Source organism: Homo sapiens, chromosome 1, assembly GCF_000001405.40.
Source record: "Homo sapiens chromosome 1, GRCh38.p14 Primary Assembly".
In the NCBI taxonomy this organism is placed as follows: Eukaryota; Metazoa; Chordata; class Mammalia; order Primates; family Hominidae; genus Homo; species Homo sapiens.
This window is the reverse complement of record NC_000001.11, coordinates 220532224-220552721: the sequence shown is the minus strand read 5'-3', so window position 1 is coordinate 220552721 and position 20498 is coordinate 220532224. Positions and strand designations below refer to the sequence as shown.

The 20498-nt window shown below is 38.1% G+C and overlaps 1 protein-coding gene across 10 annotated transcripts in view; it reads right to left on the bottom strand.

The window, feature by feature from the left end:
• Positions 1 to 20498, bottom strand: part of MARK1 (microtubule affinity regulating kinase 1) — a 136326-nt gene that overhangs the window by 111740 nt on the left and 4088 nt on the right. The window contains exon 1 of one of the 10 annotated variants that reach the window (XM_011509561.4): positions 1471 to 2157. The exons of 8 other annotated variants lie outside the window; for them this stretch is intronic. In XM_011509561.4, coding sequence (XP_011507863.1) covers positions 1471 to 1497 — 27 coding nt within the window. In that variant the 5' untranslated portion in view covers positions 1498 to 2157. Of the gene's footprint in view, positions 1 to 1470; positions 2158 to 20498 lie in introns of those variants that run through there. One more of the 10 variants, XM_047420844.1, reaches the window with a different exon arrangement.

Sequence of the window (20498 nt, the reverse complement as noted above, 5' to 3'; positions counted from 1 at the left end):
ATTTGTCTTCTCTGTCCACAATGCTATGACAAAACCTTCACTGGTGGACTTACAGAATACATTTTCACCATTATAGTATTTCTTTAGCATCATGGTATTCCACATAGCATTGCTTCTAGGCAACGAACTCATTTTATAGCAAATAAAGAATGAAAGCAGGCTCATGCTTTGAGAAATCACCAGTCTCACTATATTCCCCCAATACTCTGAAGCAGCTGTCTTGATAAAACAATCTTTTGAAGATTGTTTTGATGCCAGCTGGGTAACGACACCTTGCAGAGCTGGGGTAATATATTCCAGGATGCAATATGTACTCCAAATTTGTGACTAAGATATGGTGCTATTTCTCCTGTAACCAGATTTCACAGGTTCAGGAATCAATAAATAGAAATGGGAATAGCTGTTCTCACTATTATCCTTAGTGATCCATTAGTAAAAAAATTTTTTTCTAGTCCCTACAACTTTGGGTTCTGCTGGTCTAGAAGTCTTAGTGCCTAGGGAGAAAATGCTTCCACCAGATGTCATAGTAATGGTCCATTAAATGGCAAGTTGAGACTGCTTCATGGCAGTGAATCAATAGGCAAAAAAAGAGGTTACCATACTGGCTGGGGTGACTGATCCTGACTATCAAGGGAAAATTAGGTTGCTATTACATAATGTCTGTAAGACGGACTATATCTGAAATGCAGGGGATCCTCTGGGGCACCTCTTCTTACTCCCATGTCCTATGGGATAAGGCAATGGAAAACTGCAATAACCCAGTGCAGGCAAGACTTCTGATGGCCCAGACTCCTCAGGAATGAAGGCTTGGGTTACTTCACCAGGCAAAGAACAAAACTCAGCTGAAGTGTTTGCCGAGAGCAAAGGAAATATGGAATCAGTAGTTGAAGGAGGTAATTATAAATACCACCTACAACCACATGACCAGTTACAGAAACAAGCCCTGTAATACTTATAAATATTTTTTCCTTATTTTGCTGTAAATACACTTGCATATATATTAACCAATTCTTTTTTTTCTTTTTGATTCCCCTTCCCATTTCTCCATCATTCAACATCAAAGTGTTAACATTAGCTAACTCTTTATGTTAATACTGAAGTTGCAGGGAATAAGGAGAGACTGAGAAGAGAAATGAGCATCACCTAAAGATAGATAAAGAGACTTTTGTATCATGTTAGGCTAAAGATTAATTCTGCTATTATCTTTATCTTAAGTATGGTTAAGAGAAGTGTGGCTAAATCTCATACTTAAAATGATGGCCAAGCTGACAAGGAGTGGGTTTTAATGACTTCCAATGTGTTAACTTAGCTAAACTGGAACTCCGTTTCCCAGAATTCCCTTCTCTCTATGGTCCTAGGCTAACATCAGCCACAAGAGAAATTTGCACAAGATTAAGAAGGCAGAAATGAAAACAGTAACCATTTATATGCTCTGAAGGTCAGTGCAGGGCCAGACACAGCAGCACTCACGCTTGACATAGCTGATGTTGCTGGCATGTCTCATGGAGCTCCTTCAGCTCCCGCTGGACCACTTGCTTCAGCTGCTCTGAATTCTGGTCCAGATGCCTGGGCAACTCTCCAATGAAGGGCACCAGCTTATCCTCCAGGTCACCCATCTTAGAAGACAGAAGGCAGTGAGAGACACGAGTTCCAGTTTGTCCTCGCAGGTTCTAATTTGTTTTACTCCCCCATGTCACATTCATCTTTCCCTCCTGACTGCTGGCCCTGAGGATTTCAGCCTCTTAATACCAGACTCTGAAGCAGCAACTATACACAGAATGCTTAACCAGCTTCCACAATTGTGTAAGTATAATCCCTTAGTAAAAGCTTTATTCTGTATCACTTAACAGAATTCTGCTTCCCTGACTGAACTCCAATGTGATAAATTAAATGGCAACGTTCTTACTTCTAAAAGGTAATTGAACATGAGATTGTATTTCTAATTTAAGTCACTATTATGTAAACCTGACCAAGGTGAAGTTAATTCCTTTGAATAAAAAAATACCAAGCATTACTTTAAGAAAGATGAAAATATCTTTCCTTAAAGGGACACAGGACAAACAGAATTAGAAGAACTCCTCAGCTCTCATCTGTAATCCTGACACTTTGGGAGGCCAAGGCATGCAGATTGCTTGAGCCCCAGGAGTTTGATACCAGCCTGGGGAACATGGCAAAACTCTGTCTCTACAAAAAATACAAAAATTAGCGGGGTGTGGTGGCGCACGCCTGTAGTCCCAGCTACTTGAGGGACTGAGGTGGGAGGAGCACTTGAACATGGGAGGTTTAGACTGCAGTGAGCCATGTTCCCATCACTGCACTCGAGCTTAGGCAACGGAGCAAGACCTTGTCTCAAGAAAAAAAAAGAGCTTCTCCTAACTCTGCTTCTAGCTCATCAAACTATTATCTATCATTTCTAAGGGGCAAAAATATAAGCATTATGATTCAGAAAAGACAACAGAAGAATACTATATTCCAGCATACACAATGACATTATGAAAATTATCTTCAAGCTGTAAATCCCTGACTTAAGACTTGCCTTTATATTTGGGTTCAGTAAAATCAATGCAGTCTCAAGAGAGAGATTCCATTAGCATGTTTAAAGCTGTAATCATTTCAAGTATATTTGTACTCAGTCTCAAGAATGAATGCATTAAAATGAAGAAACTGGTAAGCATGGAGAAAAGGCAAGCCCAAAGAACATGAATTTAGTTGTATCACGACTGTGGGGTAAGAGAAATACATCCTGATCAACAACTGTGAACTTTCTCATCATTTTGGTTTGATTCCTTGCTTCTTTGATACCATTACTGAACATCTATTATTACAAAAGTATATTATATAAGCCTACCAATGAAAACCCAACAACCATCCAACCAGGTGTGTATTATCTTTGTTTTACAGATAAGGAGACATGCCCAATGTAATACACCTTGTAAAAGGCTGAGCTCGGGATAAACCCCAGGAATGTCCTGTCTACAAAGTTTGTGCTCTTAAACATTATGTAACACCACAAATACGTCCATTCCCACTGAGGACATCTATGTCACTAAACAACTCTCCTCTTCTGTACTCTGCTCTAATTCCCTGCTTACCAAGCCGCCTGCAGATAATTCAGCTTCACAGTGGCCCTCTTACACTTACTACAAAAATTCTAGTAAAACAGAAAGACCTCATGTTGTAAATGTAATACTTTTTCTTGGTATAAAAAGGAATAAATCCATGATGTAAAATACAGAAATTTAAAAAATGAAAACCATGTAATTCAGGAACCCTGAGATGCACTTAAAACTGGCAAATTTACTTCTTTCAAGCTTTAATTAAATGGAATAATAACAGCAGCATCAGCAGCTAGCACTTCTGCTAGGTGTCAGGTACTGTTCTAAGGGCGCTATATGTGTTCAGTTAGTTAAACAAAACAACAACTGAATAAGGTAGACACTTTTGTTCCATTTTACATGTAAAGAAACTGAGGTATAAGGAAGTTAAGTGGCTTCCCAAGGTCACATCTAATAAATGCTAGAGCTAGGATTTGAACCCAAGGACTTGAGCTTCAAAGCTTGTGCTCTTAACCAAGAAATTACACTGCCTCTACATCTGAATTGTGGTATACAAAGGGCAATTACCCCTATTCCCCACACAAGCACAGCCTGAGGGCTGAGACAGAGGAGGCGAACAGGGAGTGGCTGAGCCTGTATTTTTAGAGGCACTTCTCCCTAAGATACTCCCCTACACCCCAAGAAGCTACTTTGGGAGGGCTTTCACTACCACTTGCCAGGATTTATTACAAGCTGGTAATAAAAGAAAACACTTACCTAAATTATCTAAAAATACCGTGTTAAATTCTTTTCCAAACTTCCTAGTTCTTTCACTCTCACAAGAACAAAAACGTTACAGCAAACTCATGCCAGAAATTACAATAGGTGTTTGTTCTTTATTTATTAATTATTATTATTATATTTTTTTTCTGAGATGGGAGTCTTACTGTCCACCCAGGCTGGAGTGCAGTGGCACAATCTCGGCTCACCGCAGCCTCCGGCTCACCACAGTCTCTGCCTCCCAGGTTCAAGCAATTCTCCTGCCTCAGCCTCCCAAGTAGCTGGGACTACAGGTGCCCACCACCACGCCTGCTAATTTTTGTATTTTCAGTAGAGATGGAGTTTCGCCATGTTGGCCGGATTGGTCTCAAACCCCTGACCTCATGTGATCCGCCAGTCTCAGCCTCCCGAAGTGCTGGGATTACAGGTGTGAGCCACCGTGCCCAACCCGATGTTTGTTCTCTAAATCATTACATTTGATTTAATTTAATACTATAGTAGTCAGAGCTTATTCTACAACCTTCATTTCAGTTATATTTAGTAAATCTAACAAAATCCAGTAATTATTTCCTAATATAAGCTAATAATCATATCAACTTAAATTAATTTTTTGAAGTACATTGAAATTTTATGATAACTTTAACTTTTGATCATGAACATAGAGGAACCTCTCTCCGATATACTTCAGATGTTCACCAAAAAATGACCAGAATTTAACCAGCAAATACTGTATCTACATAGCATCACCTCATATTCTTAAAGTACTCCACTATTTCCAGGGAATGAATGAATCTTAACTGTATACATTTACTAAACATCCAATGAGTTGCTGCTATGTGCACAGCACTGTGCTAAAGTATTGTAGGAAGAGGAATGTATTTTGTTGACATACTCTTGCTGTTTTTAATCCAGCAAGGTAAGCAATTCTGCAAAGTGCAGGTATCACTGTTTGCTTGATACAGGAGTCAGTAATAGTGTTCTTGGTCTCAAGGAGTTTGCAGCATTATGTGTGTGACAGGCTTAAGAAAATCACAGTACAGAGGTTGTGCGCGGTGGCTCGCGCCTGTAATCCCAGCACTTTGGGAGGCTGAGGCAGGCAGATCACGAGGTCAGGAGATCCAGACCATCCTGGCCAACACGGTGAAACACTGTCTCTACTAAAAATACAAAAAAATGTAGCCGGGTGTGGTGGCGGGCACCTGTAGTCCCAGCTACTTGGGGGGCTGAGGCAGGAGAATGGTGTGAACCCAGGAGGTGGAGCTTGCAGTGAGCTGAGATCGCACCACTGCACTCCAGCCTGGGTGGCAGAGTGAGACTCCACCTCAAAAAAAAAAGAAAATCACAGTACAGTTTGACACTACTGTCACAAAGTACATACAAAGCAGAATTAGCAACTGATAAATACTCAATTCTGGCAAAAAGGGGAGTAGAGTCTCCTCAGTGACCATACTCTTACCTCTCCTTGTTTTTCTCCCCTCCTGGAGAGGAAGGTAGAAGGGAAAGGTGGAAGTGATCAACCAACCTGGTTCCAACCTTTTCTATTCAAGACTTTCTTCCGTAGGATGTTATTTGGGCACTGGTAGTTAACAATTCACTAGTAAGCCAATTCCACTGGTTTAAACAGTGGCTACTAGTAAATACTTTATTTCCTTTTAGTTCTTGGTATTTAGGCAATACAGAAAGAATCTAGAGTGGCCAGAAGGATCAATGGCATGATTTAGTAGTGCTATTCAGTTAATAAATAATTTCTGCAGAAAAAAGTACCCAAGACAGTTTACAGGTAAGTAGGTACCAAAATGAGATGTACCAGTAAGAGCCATAAGAAAGAAAGGTTAGTGATTTGATCCAAGATAAACTAGCTTATCCATAGCTTTTTGCTTTCTATTCCTATAGTTGCTTTTCTTTTCTTTTCTTTTTTCTTTTTTTTTTTTTTTGGAGACGGAGTCTCACTCTGTTGCCCAGGCTGGAGTGCACTGGTGCGATCTTGGCTCACTGCAGCCTCCACCTCCAGGGTTCAAGCGATTCTCCTGCCTCAGCCTCCCGAGTAGCTGGGACTACAGGCGCACGCCGCCATGCCCAGCTAATTTTTTGTATTGGTAGAGACAGGGTTTCACCGTTGTTGCCCAGGCTGGTCTGGAACTCCTGAACTCAGGCGATCCACCTGCCTCAGCCTCCCAAAGTGCCAGGATTACAGGCGTGAGCCACTGCACCCAGCCAATTAGTTGCTTTTCATTTCTAAAAGCAGGCTGGACACTATCTTTACAAAGCAATAATATCCCTCCTTAAGAAACTGAAGAGGTGGTAATAGAAAGATAAATCTAACCCAGAACAGAGCAGTAGCTAAATAATCTTTCCCTTTAGTTCAACTATATTCATCACTGATTAAAATCACAAAGACCAATCACCATTAAAGGACAACGATATACCAATCCTAGTATTTGCTAAATCCTTCTCCTTGCCCCTTTTTATCATCCTATTCTTCTGCCCTAAATCTAGAGAAACTCTACTTTCTAGTATACTAAGTGATTGTTTTATGGTTACCATGGACATCTGTAACCATACTCGCAATACATACCACCACAGTGAAAAATGTGTGGGGTTTCATTATGAAATGTGAATCTTTTCTTAACTGGTGTTAAATAAAAAATTATTCTGATGTTTGTTAAAACTATAAGGAAAACTTTACTCAAGACTATTGTAATAGGGGTATTACCATAGGGAAGAGAGACAGGCTCAACTCTGAATATTGCAAAGATGGCTAGGGATTTACAGGCAAGGAGCAGAGTGAGAGGGTCAATAGATGGAAAAGTACTAAAGAAGACATCAAGGGTAAGGTGGTTCTTGCAAATGACAGGCCAAGGACTCAGACATCAAAGATGGGGGGTGAAGAACTCAATCAGCTCTCAGGGGTGGTCAGATATCAAGGGTGATATCTCACCAAACTGACTTAGCAAGATTCTTTGCTAATTCGGAGTTGTGCAGGCCCAGTAAGGGAAGGAAGGAAATAGAGGGCCAAGGTCAAGGCCTAGTAGAGAACAGGACTCTGAGCAGCCTAATTAAAGTTTGTCAAGAGTCTTTGTCACTAGCACTGGCGTCTCCCCTTTACCAAACCTTTCTCTCATATGCCAGATAAAGTGTATATAAATACTGTATTAAAAGCGCTTTCAGGCTGGGTGTGGTGGCTCATGCCTGTAATTTCAGCAATTTGGGAGACAGAGATAGGGTGGCTCGCTTGAGCCCAAGAGTTCGAAACCAGCCTGGGCAACATGTCGAAACTCCCATTTCTACGAAAAAATACAAAAATTAGCCAGGCATGGCAGTGAGCACCTATAGTCCCAGCTACTCAGGAGGCTGAGGCGGATGGATTGATTGAACCCGGAAGGCCAAGACTGCAGTGAGCTGTGATCACGCTACTGCACTCTAGCCTGAGCAAGAACCTATCTCAAAAAAAAAAAAAAAAAAAAAAACCATGAGAAAGCAGCCCACTGAATTTAAAAACTAGAGTGTTTCTAAAGCATGCAGGCACACAGAAAATATTTAATACAGATCTCATCAAGTTGACCCTCCATCTAAATCCTCCAAGAGCTTCTGCGGCCTCCAGGACTGGTTCTTGCTATGGCATGTAAGGCCCTGCCTAATCTCAAGCCAGGCCCTCTCACTAAATGCTGCCCTCTTCAGGGTGATGTTCTCCTCTTCTCCACTTCACACTCAGGGACTTTGTGCAAATGCACCTTCCACCCCGAATGCCCTCGTCTTCCCACCAACTCAACTTTCCACAGAGCCACTTGGTGAAGGAGTACTTATCTTTCAAGCCTCATTTCAAAGGCTTTCTTGAGCACCTGGCCCGCCTCTCCTTCCTTCTTTACTCTGTGTTCTAATCAGCTGGATGACAAGGAACTGCAACTTTCTACTATACTTGTTTGTCTCTATGTCTGTCTCCCACTTCAGGCTCTGAGTCACTCCAGAGCAGGGAACAGGTTTCATTTGTCTTTGTATCCTTATCATCTTCAATTGTGATGAAGCGAATAGAAAAGGAAATAAAAGCAAACCCTCTTTTCAAATTGTGAAAGCAGCATTGCTGATCCCAAAAGGAAAGGTAGTCTTGTTAAACCTGTCACCATATACTTTACAGGTAGTTAACTATAATTTGGTACTGTGGCTCAGCTTCTAATTTGTTTACCACCTGGACTAACCTGATACAGTGGTCAAAACAGTATTAAATAACACTTTCTCAGGAGAAAGATTCAGCCTAAAACTAAAGGCACTGTCTTAATCTCTTTTCCGTTGCTATAACAGAATACGGCAGACTGAGTAATTTATAATGAACAAAAATTTATTTAGCTCATGATTCTGTAGGCTGGGAAGTCCAATATCAAGGGGCTGGCATCTCGTGACGGCCTTCAGCCTGCGTCATCCCATGGTGGAAAGGCAGAAGGGCAGAAGGGTAAGCAAGTGTGCAAAAGAGAAAAGCACTATGGGCAGGGCTTGCTTTATAACAACCCACTATCGAGATAACTAACCTGCTACTGAGAAAACATTAAGCCATTCGTGAGGGCTCTGACCTTATGACCCAATCATCTCTTATTAGGCCCCATCTCCCACCACTGTTGCATTGGGTATTAAGTTTCCAACACACAAACTTTTGGGAGGCACATTCACACCACAGCAGGCACCATATGGTAAACTCCTTTTTCGGTTGCCATCTCCCTTCCCACTTTATTGTTAACCACATAAATTTGAGGAAAGGGAAGGGAAGAACATGAAATTCCTCTTTAAACCCTTTCTTCTATCTCACACCTATAACAACCACATGCATGTACCTTACTACTTACAGAAAATTCCCTGATATTTTCTACTGTTGTCATCACCTACAAAAGGATTGACTTATCATTTTTTCCATCCTACTTTCTAAAATATAGCCATCAACTATAATTGTCTTTTCATTTTCATCATAATATGAGGTTAATTACAATGTAATCATCATCATCACATAAATCAGTGTTTTCCAAAACCTATCTGTGTAAGAATTCCCTAAGGGTTTGGAGAAATTCCTAGACCCCACCCTAGAAAAACTGAGCAAGAACAAAGATTGGGAGGGAGCAGGAGTTAAGAAATGCAAATTTGAAACAATCTCCTCAGGTAGTTCATAAACTCACTGTATTTGAGAATAAATAAATAAAATAGACCTTGGTTTATTAAATTGTTGAGTACCAAAAAATATGCCAAACACTATGCTAGGTAATAAAGGATATACAGAAATAATGTTGAAAGTGGTCCATGGCCTCAAAATATTTTCAATTTAGCTAGAAAGCAGAAGTTTATACGCAGAAGAATTAGAGAACAACGCTAAACTCTGTGGCATAGAATGGCCTCTAAACTACAGTCCAAGGTATTTTTAGCTTCAAAATGTGTAAGTATGCATTCCCATAGAAATGCTAATAAATTACATATGAATTACTTTATAAATAGATTATGCATATTAAAAAGTATAGTATAAAAATTTTTGGAAATATATTGAATTCTAATGGTACAAACTTTTCAGTGATTAGCAAAATATTATTAATGTTATACAATACAAATGAATGTTTCTTGAGTTTTGTAAATGTTGGCTTAACAATTTGTGATAAAGAACTGAAAGACTGATTATAAGTCCAGTTTATGTTGCTACTTAATTTCAATGACTGTCATGGCTAATGAGAGCATCTCACATAAATGGAAGCAGTGGACAACTGCTTGCATTTATTTAATTATGATGCTCATAGTTCGATCTATTCATCAATTATGCAAAAGTTCTGTTAGATTTCCACTTTGCCTGAGCCATTCTTGAAAATTAATCATTCTAACAATTGTAACAAATGATTTCAAAAATCTAGTAAATTTTCAAATGAAAGATTTATAAACAGAAAATTATGCACATTTTAAAGTATACAGATACGAGAATTTCAGAAATGATACATGGTTTAGGAACATAAGTATGGAAATTTACATAAGTATGGAACATAAGTATGGAAATCCCATAAGTATGTAAATTTCTGAAGACCCATTTACAAAAAACTTATTCCAGAATTTCTACAGTGCAGTAGGCATGATATCATAAGGGGTACTCCAAAATAGTATCTATTTTTTAAATGAATTACTGAACTATAAGAGAGTAAGAGAGACCTCCAAGGGCAAAACAAAAACAAGTAAACAAACATAAAAAAACAAATCAACAAACAACAGCTAAAAGTTAACCACAAAAGCCTTAGTTACCCTGGAGTCAAATACTAAGTCTTGGACTCACTACAGGGTGAGAGAGCTGAACCTACAACTCCCAGGAATCCCTACAGGAGACTAAAGTGCCCCACGTCAGTAGGGGTTCCCAGCAGAAGCAACCCAATCCCTTTCTGAAGGAAGCATCCTCAATTTAGGCCCCCAAGTTTCACACAAATAACAATCAGGCAAAGAGGAGTTCACCATCAAATACCAGCACATTCAATAAGAAACAACCATAGTGAATGACACCATCAAATACCAGCAATTCAATAAGAAACAACCATAGTGAATGAGAATTAGCAGATATCAACAATAAATCTAACCTCCTAGGGACTTCAGATAATGGAATTACCAGAAACAAATTACTATATATTAAATTGCAAGGATGCAAATTACTATATATTAAATGTTCAAGGAAATGAAGATGAAATCATAAAATAAGCAAAGTCCAAGAATCTACTTAAAAAGGCAGACAAGCTTAAGAGAAAAATCTTAAAACTTAGAAATTAAAAATATGATAAATGAAATTAAAAATTCAACAGATGGGGAAAAAGAGTGGAGCACGGATCCAATGCTCTGATTTTTAGGGGACTGCCAGAGGGACTGGTTTTAGATGCTGATAGAACCCAGCTTACACTAGAGGTCACTACAAAAAAATCAATGAAACACATAGGAATACAGCAAGAGAGGATAAGAGGGACAAAAACCTACAAGACGGAAAATAGTTAACAAAATGGCAATAGTAAGTCCTTCCCTATCACTAATTGCACCAAATGAAGATGGATTAAACACTGTAATCAAAAGACAGAATTGTTGAATGGATTAAAAATATAACATCCAACTATATGTTGTGTACAAGAGATTCACTTTAGATTTAAGGACACCCACAGGCTAAAAATTAAAGGATGAAATAACCAAAAGAGAGCAGAGGTAGCCAAACTTACATCAGATAAAACAGACCTTATGTCAAAAACTGTCACAACAGACAAAGAAGAATATTACGTAGTGATAAAAGCATCAATTCATGAGGAAGCTATAACAATTATAAATACATATGTACCCAACATCAGAACAGAAGCAAACATGACAGAACTGAAGGCAGGAATAGACGGCGACACAACAATAAAAGATTTCAATACCCTACATTCGATAATGATAGAATAACTAGACAGAAGATCAACAAGGAAACAGAGGACCTGAAGAACACTATAGAACAAATTGACCTAACGGACACGTAGACATACAGAGCATTCCACCCAATAGCAGCACAATATAAATTCTTCTCAAGCACACACAGAACATTCTCCAGGACAGATAACAAAAATACAACAGCAAAACTTATGGGATGCAGCAAAAGCAGTACTAAGAGGGAAGTTTATCGTGATTTCATTAAAAAAACACCTACGTTAAAGAATAAGAGGCTGGGTGTGGTGGCTCTTGCCTGTCATCCCAGCACTTTGGGAGGCCAAGGTGGGCAGATCACTTGAGGTTGGGAGTTTTAGACCAGCCTGGCCAACATGGTGAAACCCCGTCTCTTCTAAAAATACAAAAATTAGCCAGGTATGGTGGCAGGCACCTGTAATTCCAGCTACTCAGGAGGCTGAGGCAGAGAATCACTTGAACCGAGGAAGCAGAGGCTGCAGTGAGCTGAGATTGCACCACAGCTCTCCAGCCTGGATGACAGAGCAAGACTCTATCTCAAACAAAAAAAAAAAGAGAGAGACTTCAAATAAATAATCTAACTCAACACCCCAAGGACTAGAGAAAGAAGAGCAAACTAAGTCAAAATTTAGCAGAAGAAAGGAAATAAAAAAGATTAGAGCAGAAATAACAAATTAGTGAATACAAAAACAACAGAAAAAAATCAACAAAAGACTTGGTTTTTTGAAAAGATCAACAAATTTGACAAACCTTTGACTAAGAAAAAAAGATAGGACTCAAATAAAATCAGAAATGAAAGAGGAAATAATACAACTGATGCCACAGAAATAAAAACGATATAAGATACTACCATGAATAATCATATTCCAACAAATCAGATAACATAGAAGAAATGTATAAATTCCTAGAAACATATAACTTACCGTGATAGTTAATTTTATATGTCAATTTGACTGGGCTGAGGAATGCTCAGATAGCTGGCAAAATATTATTTTGGGGTATATCCAAGAGAGTTTTTCCAGAAGAGGTTAGCATTTTGATCAGCAACTGAACAAAGCATATACCTTCATCAATGTGGGCAAGCATCATTCAATCCATTGAGAGAGCCCGATTGGAATATAAAGAAAAAAAACGGAAAATTTATTTCTCTCTTCTTCAGCTGGGATATCCATCTTATCCTGCTTGCAGGCATTAGAGCTACTGGTTCTTGGGCTTTCAGACACAGACTAAATTATATCACTGGTTTTCCTGGTTCTCCCACTTTCAGATGAAATACTGTGACACTTCATGGCCTCCATAATCACATGGACCAGTTCCCATAATAAATCTTCTCATATATCTATATACAGCCTATTGGATTTGTTTCTCTGGAGAACCCTAATAAACCTACAAAAACTAAGTTATGAAAAAATAGAACATCTAAACAAAGCTATAACTAGTAAGGAGATTGAATCAGGAATCAAAAACCTTCCAACAACGATAAGCCCAAGACCAGATGGCTTCACTAGTGAATTATACTAAACATTTAAAGAAGAATTAAAACCAACCCTTTTCAAACTCTCCCCCAAAAAGAAGAGAAGAGAATACTTCTTAACTCATTTTATAAAGCCAGCATTACCATGATAAAAAACCAGAAAAAGTCACTACAGGAAAAAAAAACTACAAGTCAATATCCCTAATGCATATCAATATAAAAATTCTCAGGAAAAAAAAAAACCTAGCAATTCAATTTCAACGGCACATTAGAAGGATCACGTACCACGCCCAAGAGGCAATTATCCCTAGGATACGAGGATGGCACAACATACAAAAATCAATGTGATATATACCACATTCATAGAAGGAAAATTAAAATTGCCTGATCATCTCAATAGATGCAGAAAAAGCACTGACACAATTCAGTACCCTTTCATGATTAAAAACACCACTCAACAAAATAAGAATGGAAAAAAATTACATCAACATAAAAAAGACCGTATATAAAAAGAACATTGATGCAAAAATCCTCAATAGAATACTGGCAAACCAAATCCAGCAGCACATCAAAAAGCTTATCCACCATGATCAAGTGGGCTTCATCCCTGGGATGCAAGGCTGGTTCAATATATGCAAATCAATCAATGTAATCCAGCATATAAACAGAACCAAAGACAAAAACCACATGATTATCTCAATAGATGCAGAAAAGGCCTTTGACAAAATTCAACAACACTTCATACTAAAAACTCTCAATAAATTAGGTATTGATGGGACATATCTCAAAATAATAAGAGCTATCTATGACAAACCCACAGCCAATATCATACTGAATGGGCAAAAACTGGAAGCATTCCCTTTGAAAACTGGCACAAGACAGGGATGCCCTCTCTCACCACTCCTATTCAACATAGTGTTGGAAGTTCTGGCCAAGGCAATTAGGCAGGAGAAGGAAATAAAGGGTATTCAATTAGGAAAAGAGGAAGTCAAATTGTCCGTGTTTGCAGATGACATGATTGTATATCTAGAAAACCCCATTGTCTCAGCCCAAAATCTCCTTAAGCTGATAAGCAACTTCAGCAAAGTCTCAGGATACAAAATCAATGTACAAAAATCACAAGCATTCTTATACACCAATAACAGACAAACAGAGAGCCAAATCATGAGTGAACTCCCATTCACAATTGCTTCAAAGAGAATAAAATACCTAGGAATCCAACTTACAAGGGACGTGAAGGACCTCTTCAAGAACTACAAACCACTGCTCAAGGAAATAAAAGAAGATACAAACAAATGGAAGAACATTCCATGCTCATGGGTAGGAAGAATCAATATCGTGAAAATGGCCATACTGCCCAAGGTAATTTATAGAGTCAATGCCATCCCCATCAAGCTACCAATGACTTTCTTCACAGAATTGGAAAAAACTACTTTAAAGTTCATATGGAACCAAAAAAGAGCCCACATCGCCAAGTCAATCCTAAGCCAAAAGAACAAAGCTGGAGGCTACCTGACTTCAAACTATACTACAAGGCTACAGTAACCAAAACAGCATGGTACTGGTACCAAAATAGAGATATAGATCAATGCAACAGAACAGAGCCCTCAGAAATAATGCTGCATATCTACAACTATCTGATCTTTGACAAACCTGAGAAAAACAAGCAATGGGGAAAGGATTCCCTATTTAATAAATGGTGCTGGGAAAACTGGCTAGCCATATGTAGAAAGCTGAAACTGGATCCCTTCCTTACACCTTATACTAAAATGAATTCAAGATGGATTAAAGACTTAAACGTTAGACCTAAAACCATAAAAACCCTAGAAGAAAACCTAGGCATTACCATTCAGGACATAGGCATGGGCAAGGACTTCATGTCTAAAACACCAAAAGCAATGGCAACAAAAGCCAAAATTGACAAACAGGATCTAATTAAACTAAAGAGCTTCTGCACAGCAAAAGAAACTACCATCAGAGTAAACAGGTAACCTACAAAATTTTCACAACCTACTCATCTGACAAAAGGCTAATATCCAGAATCTTCAATGAACTCAAACAAATTTACAAGAAAAAAACAAACAACCCCATCAAAAAGTGGGCAAAGGACATGAACAGACACTTCTCAAAAGAAGACATTTATGCAGCCAAAAGACACATGAAAAAATGCTCATCATCACTGACCATCAGAGAAATGCAAATCAAAACCACAGTGAGATACCATCTCACACCAGTTAGAATGGCAATCATTAAAAAGTCAGGAAACAACAGGTGCTGGAGAGGATGTGGAGAAATAGGAACACTTTTACACTGTTGGTGGGACTGTAAACTAGTTCAACCATTGTGGAAGTCAGTGTGGCGATTCCTCAGGGATCTAGAACTAGAAATACCATTTGACCCAGCCATCCCATTACTGGGTATATACCCAAAGGACTATAAATATGCTGCTATAAAGACACATGCACACGTATGTTTATTGCGGCACTATTCACAACAGCAAAGACTTGGAACCAACCCAAATGTCCAACAATGATAGACTGGAGTAAGAAAATGTGGCACATATACACCATGGAATACTATGCAGCCATAAAAAATGATGAGTTCATGTCCTTTGTAGGGACATGGATGAACTGGAAATCATCATTCTCAGTAAACTATTGCAAGAACAAAAAACCAAACACCGCATGTTCTCACTCATAGGTGGGAATTGAACAATGAGAACACATGGACACAGGAAGGGGAACATCACACTCTGGGGACTGTTGTGGGGTGGGGGGAGGGGGGAGGGATAGCATTAGGAGATATACCTAATGCTAAATGAAGAGTTAATGGGTGCAGCACACCAGCATGGCACATGTATACATATGTAACCAACCTGCACATTGTGCACATGTACCCTAAAACTTAAATTAAAAAAAAAAAAAACTAGGTGATAGGATGATCTGTGCAACAAACTATGCCACATGTTTACCTATGTAACAAATGTGCAAATCCTGTACATGTACCCCTGAACTTAAAAACTGAAAAAAAAAAATAACAATAGATACACTTAGAGACTTATCTATGGAGATACTCATCAAGGTTATTTACAGTAAAGAAATGGAAAAACCTTCAATATCTAACAAGAGAGGACTGGGGCCGGGCACAGTGGCTCACGCCTGTAATCCCAGCACTTTGGCAGGCTGAGGCAGGTAGATCACCCAAGGTCAGGAGCTTGAGACCAACCTGGCCAACATGGCGAAACCTGTTTCTACTAAAAGTACAAAAATTAGCCGGCCATGGTGGTGTGCACCTGTAATCCCAGCTACTGGCGTGTGCCTATAATCTCAGCTACTTGGGAGGCTGAGGCAGGAGAATCGCTTGAACCCAGGAGGTGGAGGTTGCAGTGAGCTGAGATTGCGCCACTGCACTCCAGCTTGGGTGAAAGAATAAGACTCCATCTCAAAAAAAAAAAAGAGAGAGAGGACTGGTTAAATAAATGCTAGTTCACCCACTCTAATGTAGCCATTGCAAATGATAAGGTTAGAAACTTAAGGCATGGAAAATAGTCATAATTGTATAAAATGTACACAGTAGTTTATAAAATAAAATGTATTGTGTGGGAAAAAAAAAAAAGCCCACAACTAATATAAATAACACTCAGTGGTAGAAAACAAAGGTTTCCCTTTAAGACCAAGAACAAGACAAGGATGCCCATTCTTGCCACTTCTATTTAACATAGTATTAGAAGTCCTAGGCAGAGCAGTTAGACAAGAAAAAAATAAATAAATAAAAGGTATCCAAATCAGAAAGAAGCAAAATTATCACTGTTTGTAGACGAGATTATCTTATATGCCGAAAACCCTAAGGATTCCAAATACCAAAAAAAGAACTGCTAGAAATAATAAACAAATTCAACAGTTTCAGGCTACAAAATCAACATACAAAAGTCAGTTACATTTCTATGCACTAACAAAGAACTAACCTAATGGCATTTTTTACAGAAACAAAAAAAAAGTATAAAATTCATATGGAACCACAAAGGACCCTGAATGGCCTAAACAATCTTCAGAAAGAACAAAGTTAGAAGCCTCACACTTACTGGCTTCAAAACATATTACAAAGCTATGGTAATCAAAATAGTATAGTAATAGCTTAAAGACAGAGATATACACTAAGAACAGAATAGAGAGCTCAGAAATGAACCCATGCATACACAGTCAAATGATTTTCAACATGGATGCCAAAAATTCACAATGGGTAAAGGACAGTCTTTTCAACAAATGGTGCTGGGAAAATGGATATATATATGCAAAAGAATGACACTGGACCCTCATTTTATATCATACACAAAAACTATCTCAAAAGGGATTAAAGATTTAAATTTAAGACTTGAATTATAAAATCCCTAGAAGAAAACATAGGAGAAGAGCTTCATGATATTGGTCTTGACAAAGATTTCTTGTATATGATATCAAAAGCACAGCCAACAAAAGCAAAAATAGACAATCAGGACTAAATCAAACTAAAAAGCTTCTGCACATCAAAGAAAACAACAGAGTGAAAAAGCACACTACAGTATGAGCAAAACTATATGCAAACTTGATTTAAAAAAACTTGATTTTTAAATGTGCAAAGGAGTTGAATAGACATTTCTCTAAAGAAGACATACAAATGGCCAGCAGGTACATAAAAAGACGGTGAACATCACAAATCATCTGGGAAATGCAAATCAAAACCACAGTAAGATATTTACTTTACAACTGTTAGGATAGCTATAATTTTAAAAACCATAAAACAAAATAAAAACAGAAAATAAACATTGGTGAGGATGTAGAGAAATTGCAACCCTTGTGCACTGTTGGTGGAAATGTAAAATGCTGCAGCTGCTATGAAAAACAATATGAAGTCTCCTCAAAAAATTAAAAATAGACTTACCATTTGACCCAGTAGAACTACCATATGACCCAACAATAGAACTAACATACGACCATTTCTGGGTATTTATCCAAAAAACTAAAATCAGGATCTTGAAGAGATCTTTGCACTCCCATATTTACTGAGGTATTATTTATAAGAGCCAAGAAGTAGAAGCAACCCAAATGTCCACCCGCAGATAAACAGATAAACAAAACAAGGTACATAATACAATGGAATATTATTCAGCTATAAAAAAGACAGAAATCCTGTCATATGCTATAACATGGATGAACCTTAAGAGCATTGTGCTAAAATGAAATAAGCCAGTTACAGAGGATAAATGTTACATGATCCCATTTTTGTGAGGTATCTAAAGTAGTCAAACTCATCAAAGCAGAAAATAAGAATGGTGGTTGCCAGGGTCTGGAAAGAAAGGGAAATAGGGAGTTGCTGTTCAATATGTACACTGTTTCAGTCACACAAGATGAAAAATTTCTAGAGATGTGCTGTACAATATTGTGCCTATGGATGAAATTGGAGGTCATTATGTTAAGTGAAATAAGCCAAGTACAGAGAGACAAATATGTTCTCACTCATATGTGGGAGTTAAAAAAGCGATCTCATGAAGATAGAGAGTAGATTGGTGGTTAACAAAGGCTAGAAAGGGTTAGTAGGAAGGGGAGGATGAAGAGAGATTGATTAATGAGTATAAACATACACTTAGAAGGAAAAAGACCTCGTGTTCAATAGATCACTGAGGTGACTATAGTTAACTAATCAATTGTACATTTCAAAATAGCTAGAATAATTTTAATGTTGCTAGTATAATGAAAAGATCAATATGTAAAGTGATAGATATCCCAATTGCCTTAATTTGATTATATGAATGTATCAAATTAACACATATACCCCCAAAATATGCACTAATAGATCTAATACATATCATAAAATTAAATAAAAAATAAGACGTGAAAAAATAAAAAAATAAAATTGCCACCTTACCACCACTAAAATCTACTCCCTCCCCACCAAAAATACTGTACTGCACACTTAAAAATTTGTTAAAAGGGTGTATCTGATGTGTGCTTTTTACCACAATGAAAAAAAATTCAACAGATAGGTTAACAGGGTTATATACAGCTGAAGAAAGATCTAAACATATATGGTAACTATAGTATAGGTTATACTACAGATTGGAGTACAGATAAACAGTGAAATAGGAGGAAAAAAATAAATGACAGGTTAAACATGAAGGATAGAATGATAAATTTTCGCACATCTAACCAGAGTGCCAGAAATACTATGCAGAACAGAGGTAAGGTAACATTCAAAGACATAATGGTTGGTACATTCCCATAACTGATGAGACATATGAATCCACACAAGATAGAGACAGACAGAAAGGATCACACACCAAATAGCAGATGACTCCTGAACAGAAACAATGTATATCAATAGACAATGGAATACTACCTTCTGAGTGGTGAAAGAAATCAAACTATCAACCTAGAGTTACAGACTAAGCAAAGCTATCGTTTAAGAATTAGGGCAAAATATGTCTTCAGATCTAAAAAAGTTCATCACTAACAATCCTGCACCAAAAGAACTTCCACAGATATTCATCAGGAAAAGAGAAAATGACACCCAAAGGAAACAATGAGATGGAAGAGGAAAAATAATAACAATAATAATAACTTTAAAATCATGTGTCTAATTCTATATGAACTGGATTTTTATAAAAAAAAAAGACGTAATAATAGCATGTAGGTCAGAAGTGAAGTGACAAACATTAAATACATTTCTTCTTCCAATGTATTGCCCTGCACACCCACTTTAGAGACCACTGATGTGTACTATATACATCCACCACTGTTCAGCTACAACAAACAACAATATTAGCTGCAATCATTTCAGAAGTCTTGTTAAAACAATGAGACAAGCCATAAAGGATTTGTAAATTTGATATGAAGGGACAAGTGCAAGGCACTCCACACAGAAAACAGTAAAGGTTCAGAAGTAGGGATAGGGACGGCATACCCTGTTCTTCCTCTAATAAAGTATCTTATACCATTTCATATGCTCTTCTAAAATCTATTTTTTTTTTTAAAAAAAAGGGTTCACACTCTGTCACCCGGGCTGGAGTGCAGCGGTGTGATCTTGGCTCACTGTAGCCTTTATCTCCTCGGCTCAAGCAACCCTCCCACCTCAGCCTCTCTAGTAGCTGTGAATGACTACAGGCACACACCACCATGCCCAGCTTATTTTTGTATTTTTAGTGGAGACAGGGTTTCTCCATGTTGCCCATGCTGGTCTCGAATTCCTGGATTCAAGCAATCCTCCCACCCCGGCCCCACAAAGTGCTGGGATTAGAGGCATGAGCCACTCTTCTAAACTCTTTAAGACACAAACAAAACAAAAGAAAACAAAAAAACACTTTCTCGAAGTAACAGCATGAGTACAGTAATAGTGGAAGGTGTCAGATTTTCATTATTCACCTTGAAGGATAGAATTATTAACCTTGGGTAGGTCACTAAATTTTCTCTCTGAAGGCTTCATTCAGCCTCTCAGGTTGTAATACGTAATGTCTACCCTCACCAATGTCACCAATATATTTTGATGATAAATGAAAAAATTCAAAGGGGGTGTTACAGCACTGATTTCTTATATACTGTACTAGTCACTGTGCTGGGCACTGGCAACACAGACTAAGGGAGACAAAGTCAGGCAATTAGATGCTATGTGATAGGTACTGTGACATGTGAAGGATGCACAGAAAATCCAAGGATAGTGACAAAGGTATGCTTTCCTCTCGCTTCTTCATGCCATTAACAATGATTCTCAAAAGACAAACTACTGATGGCAACCTTAGTTACAATAGGTAATCATTATAATCA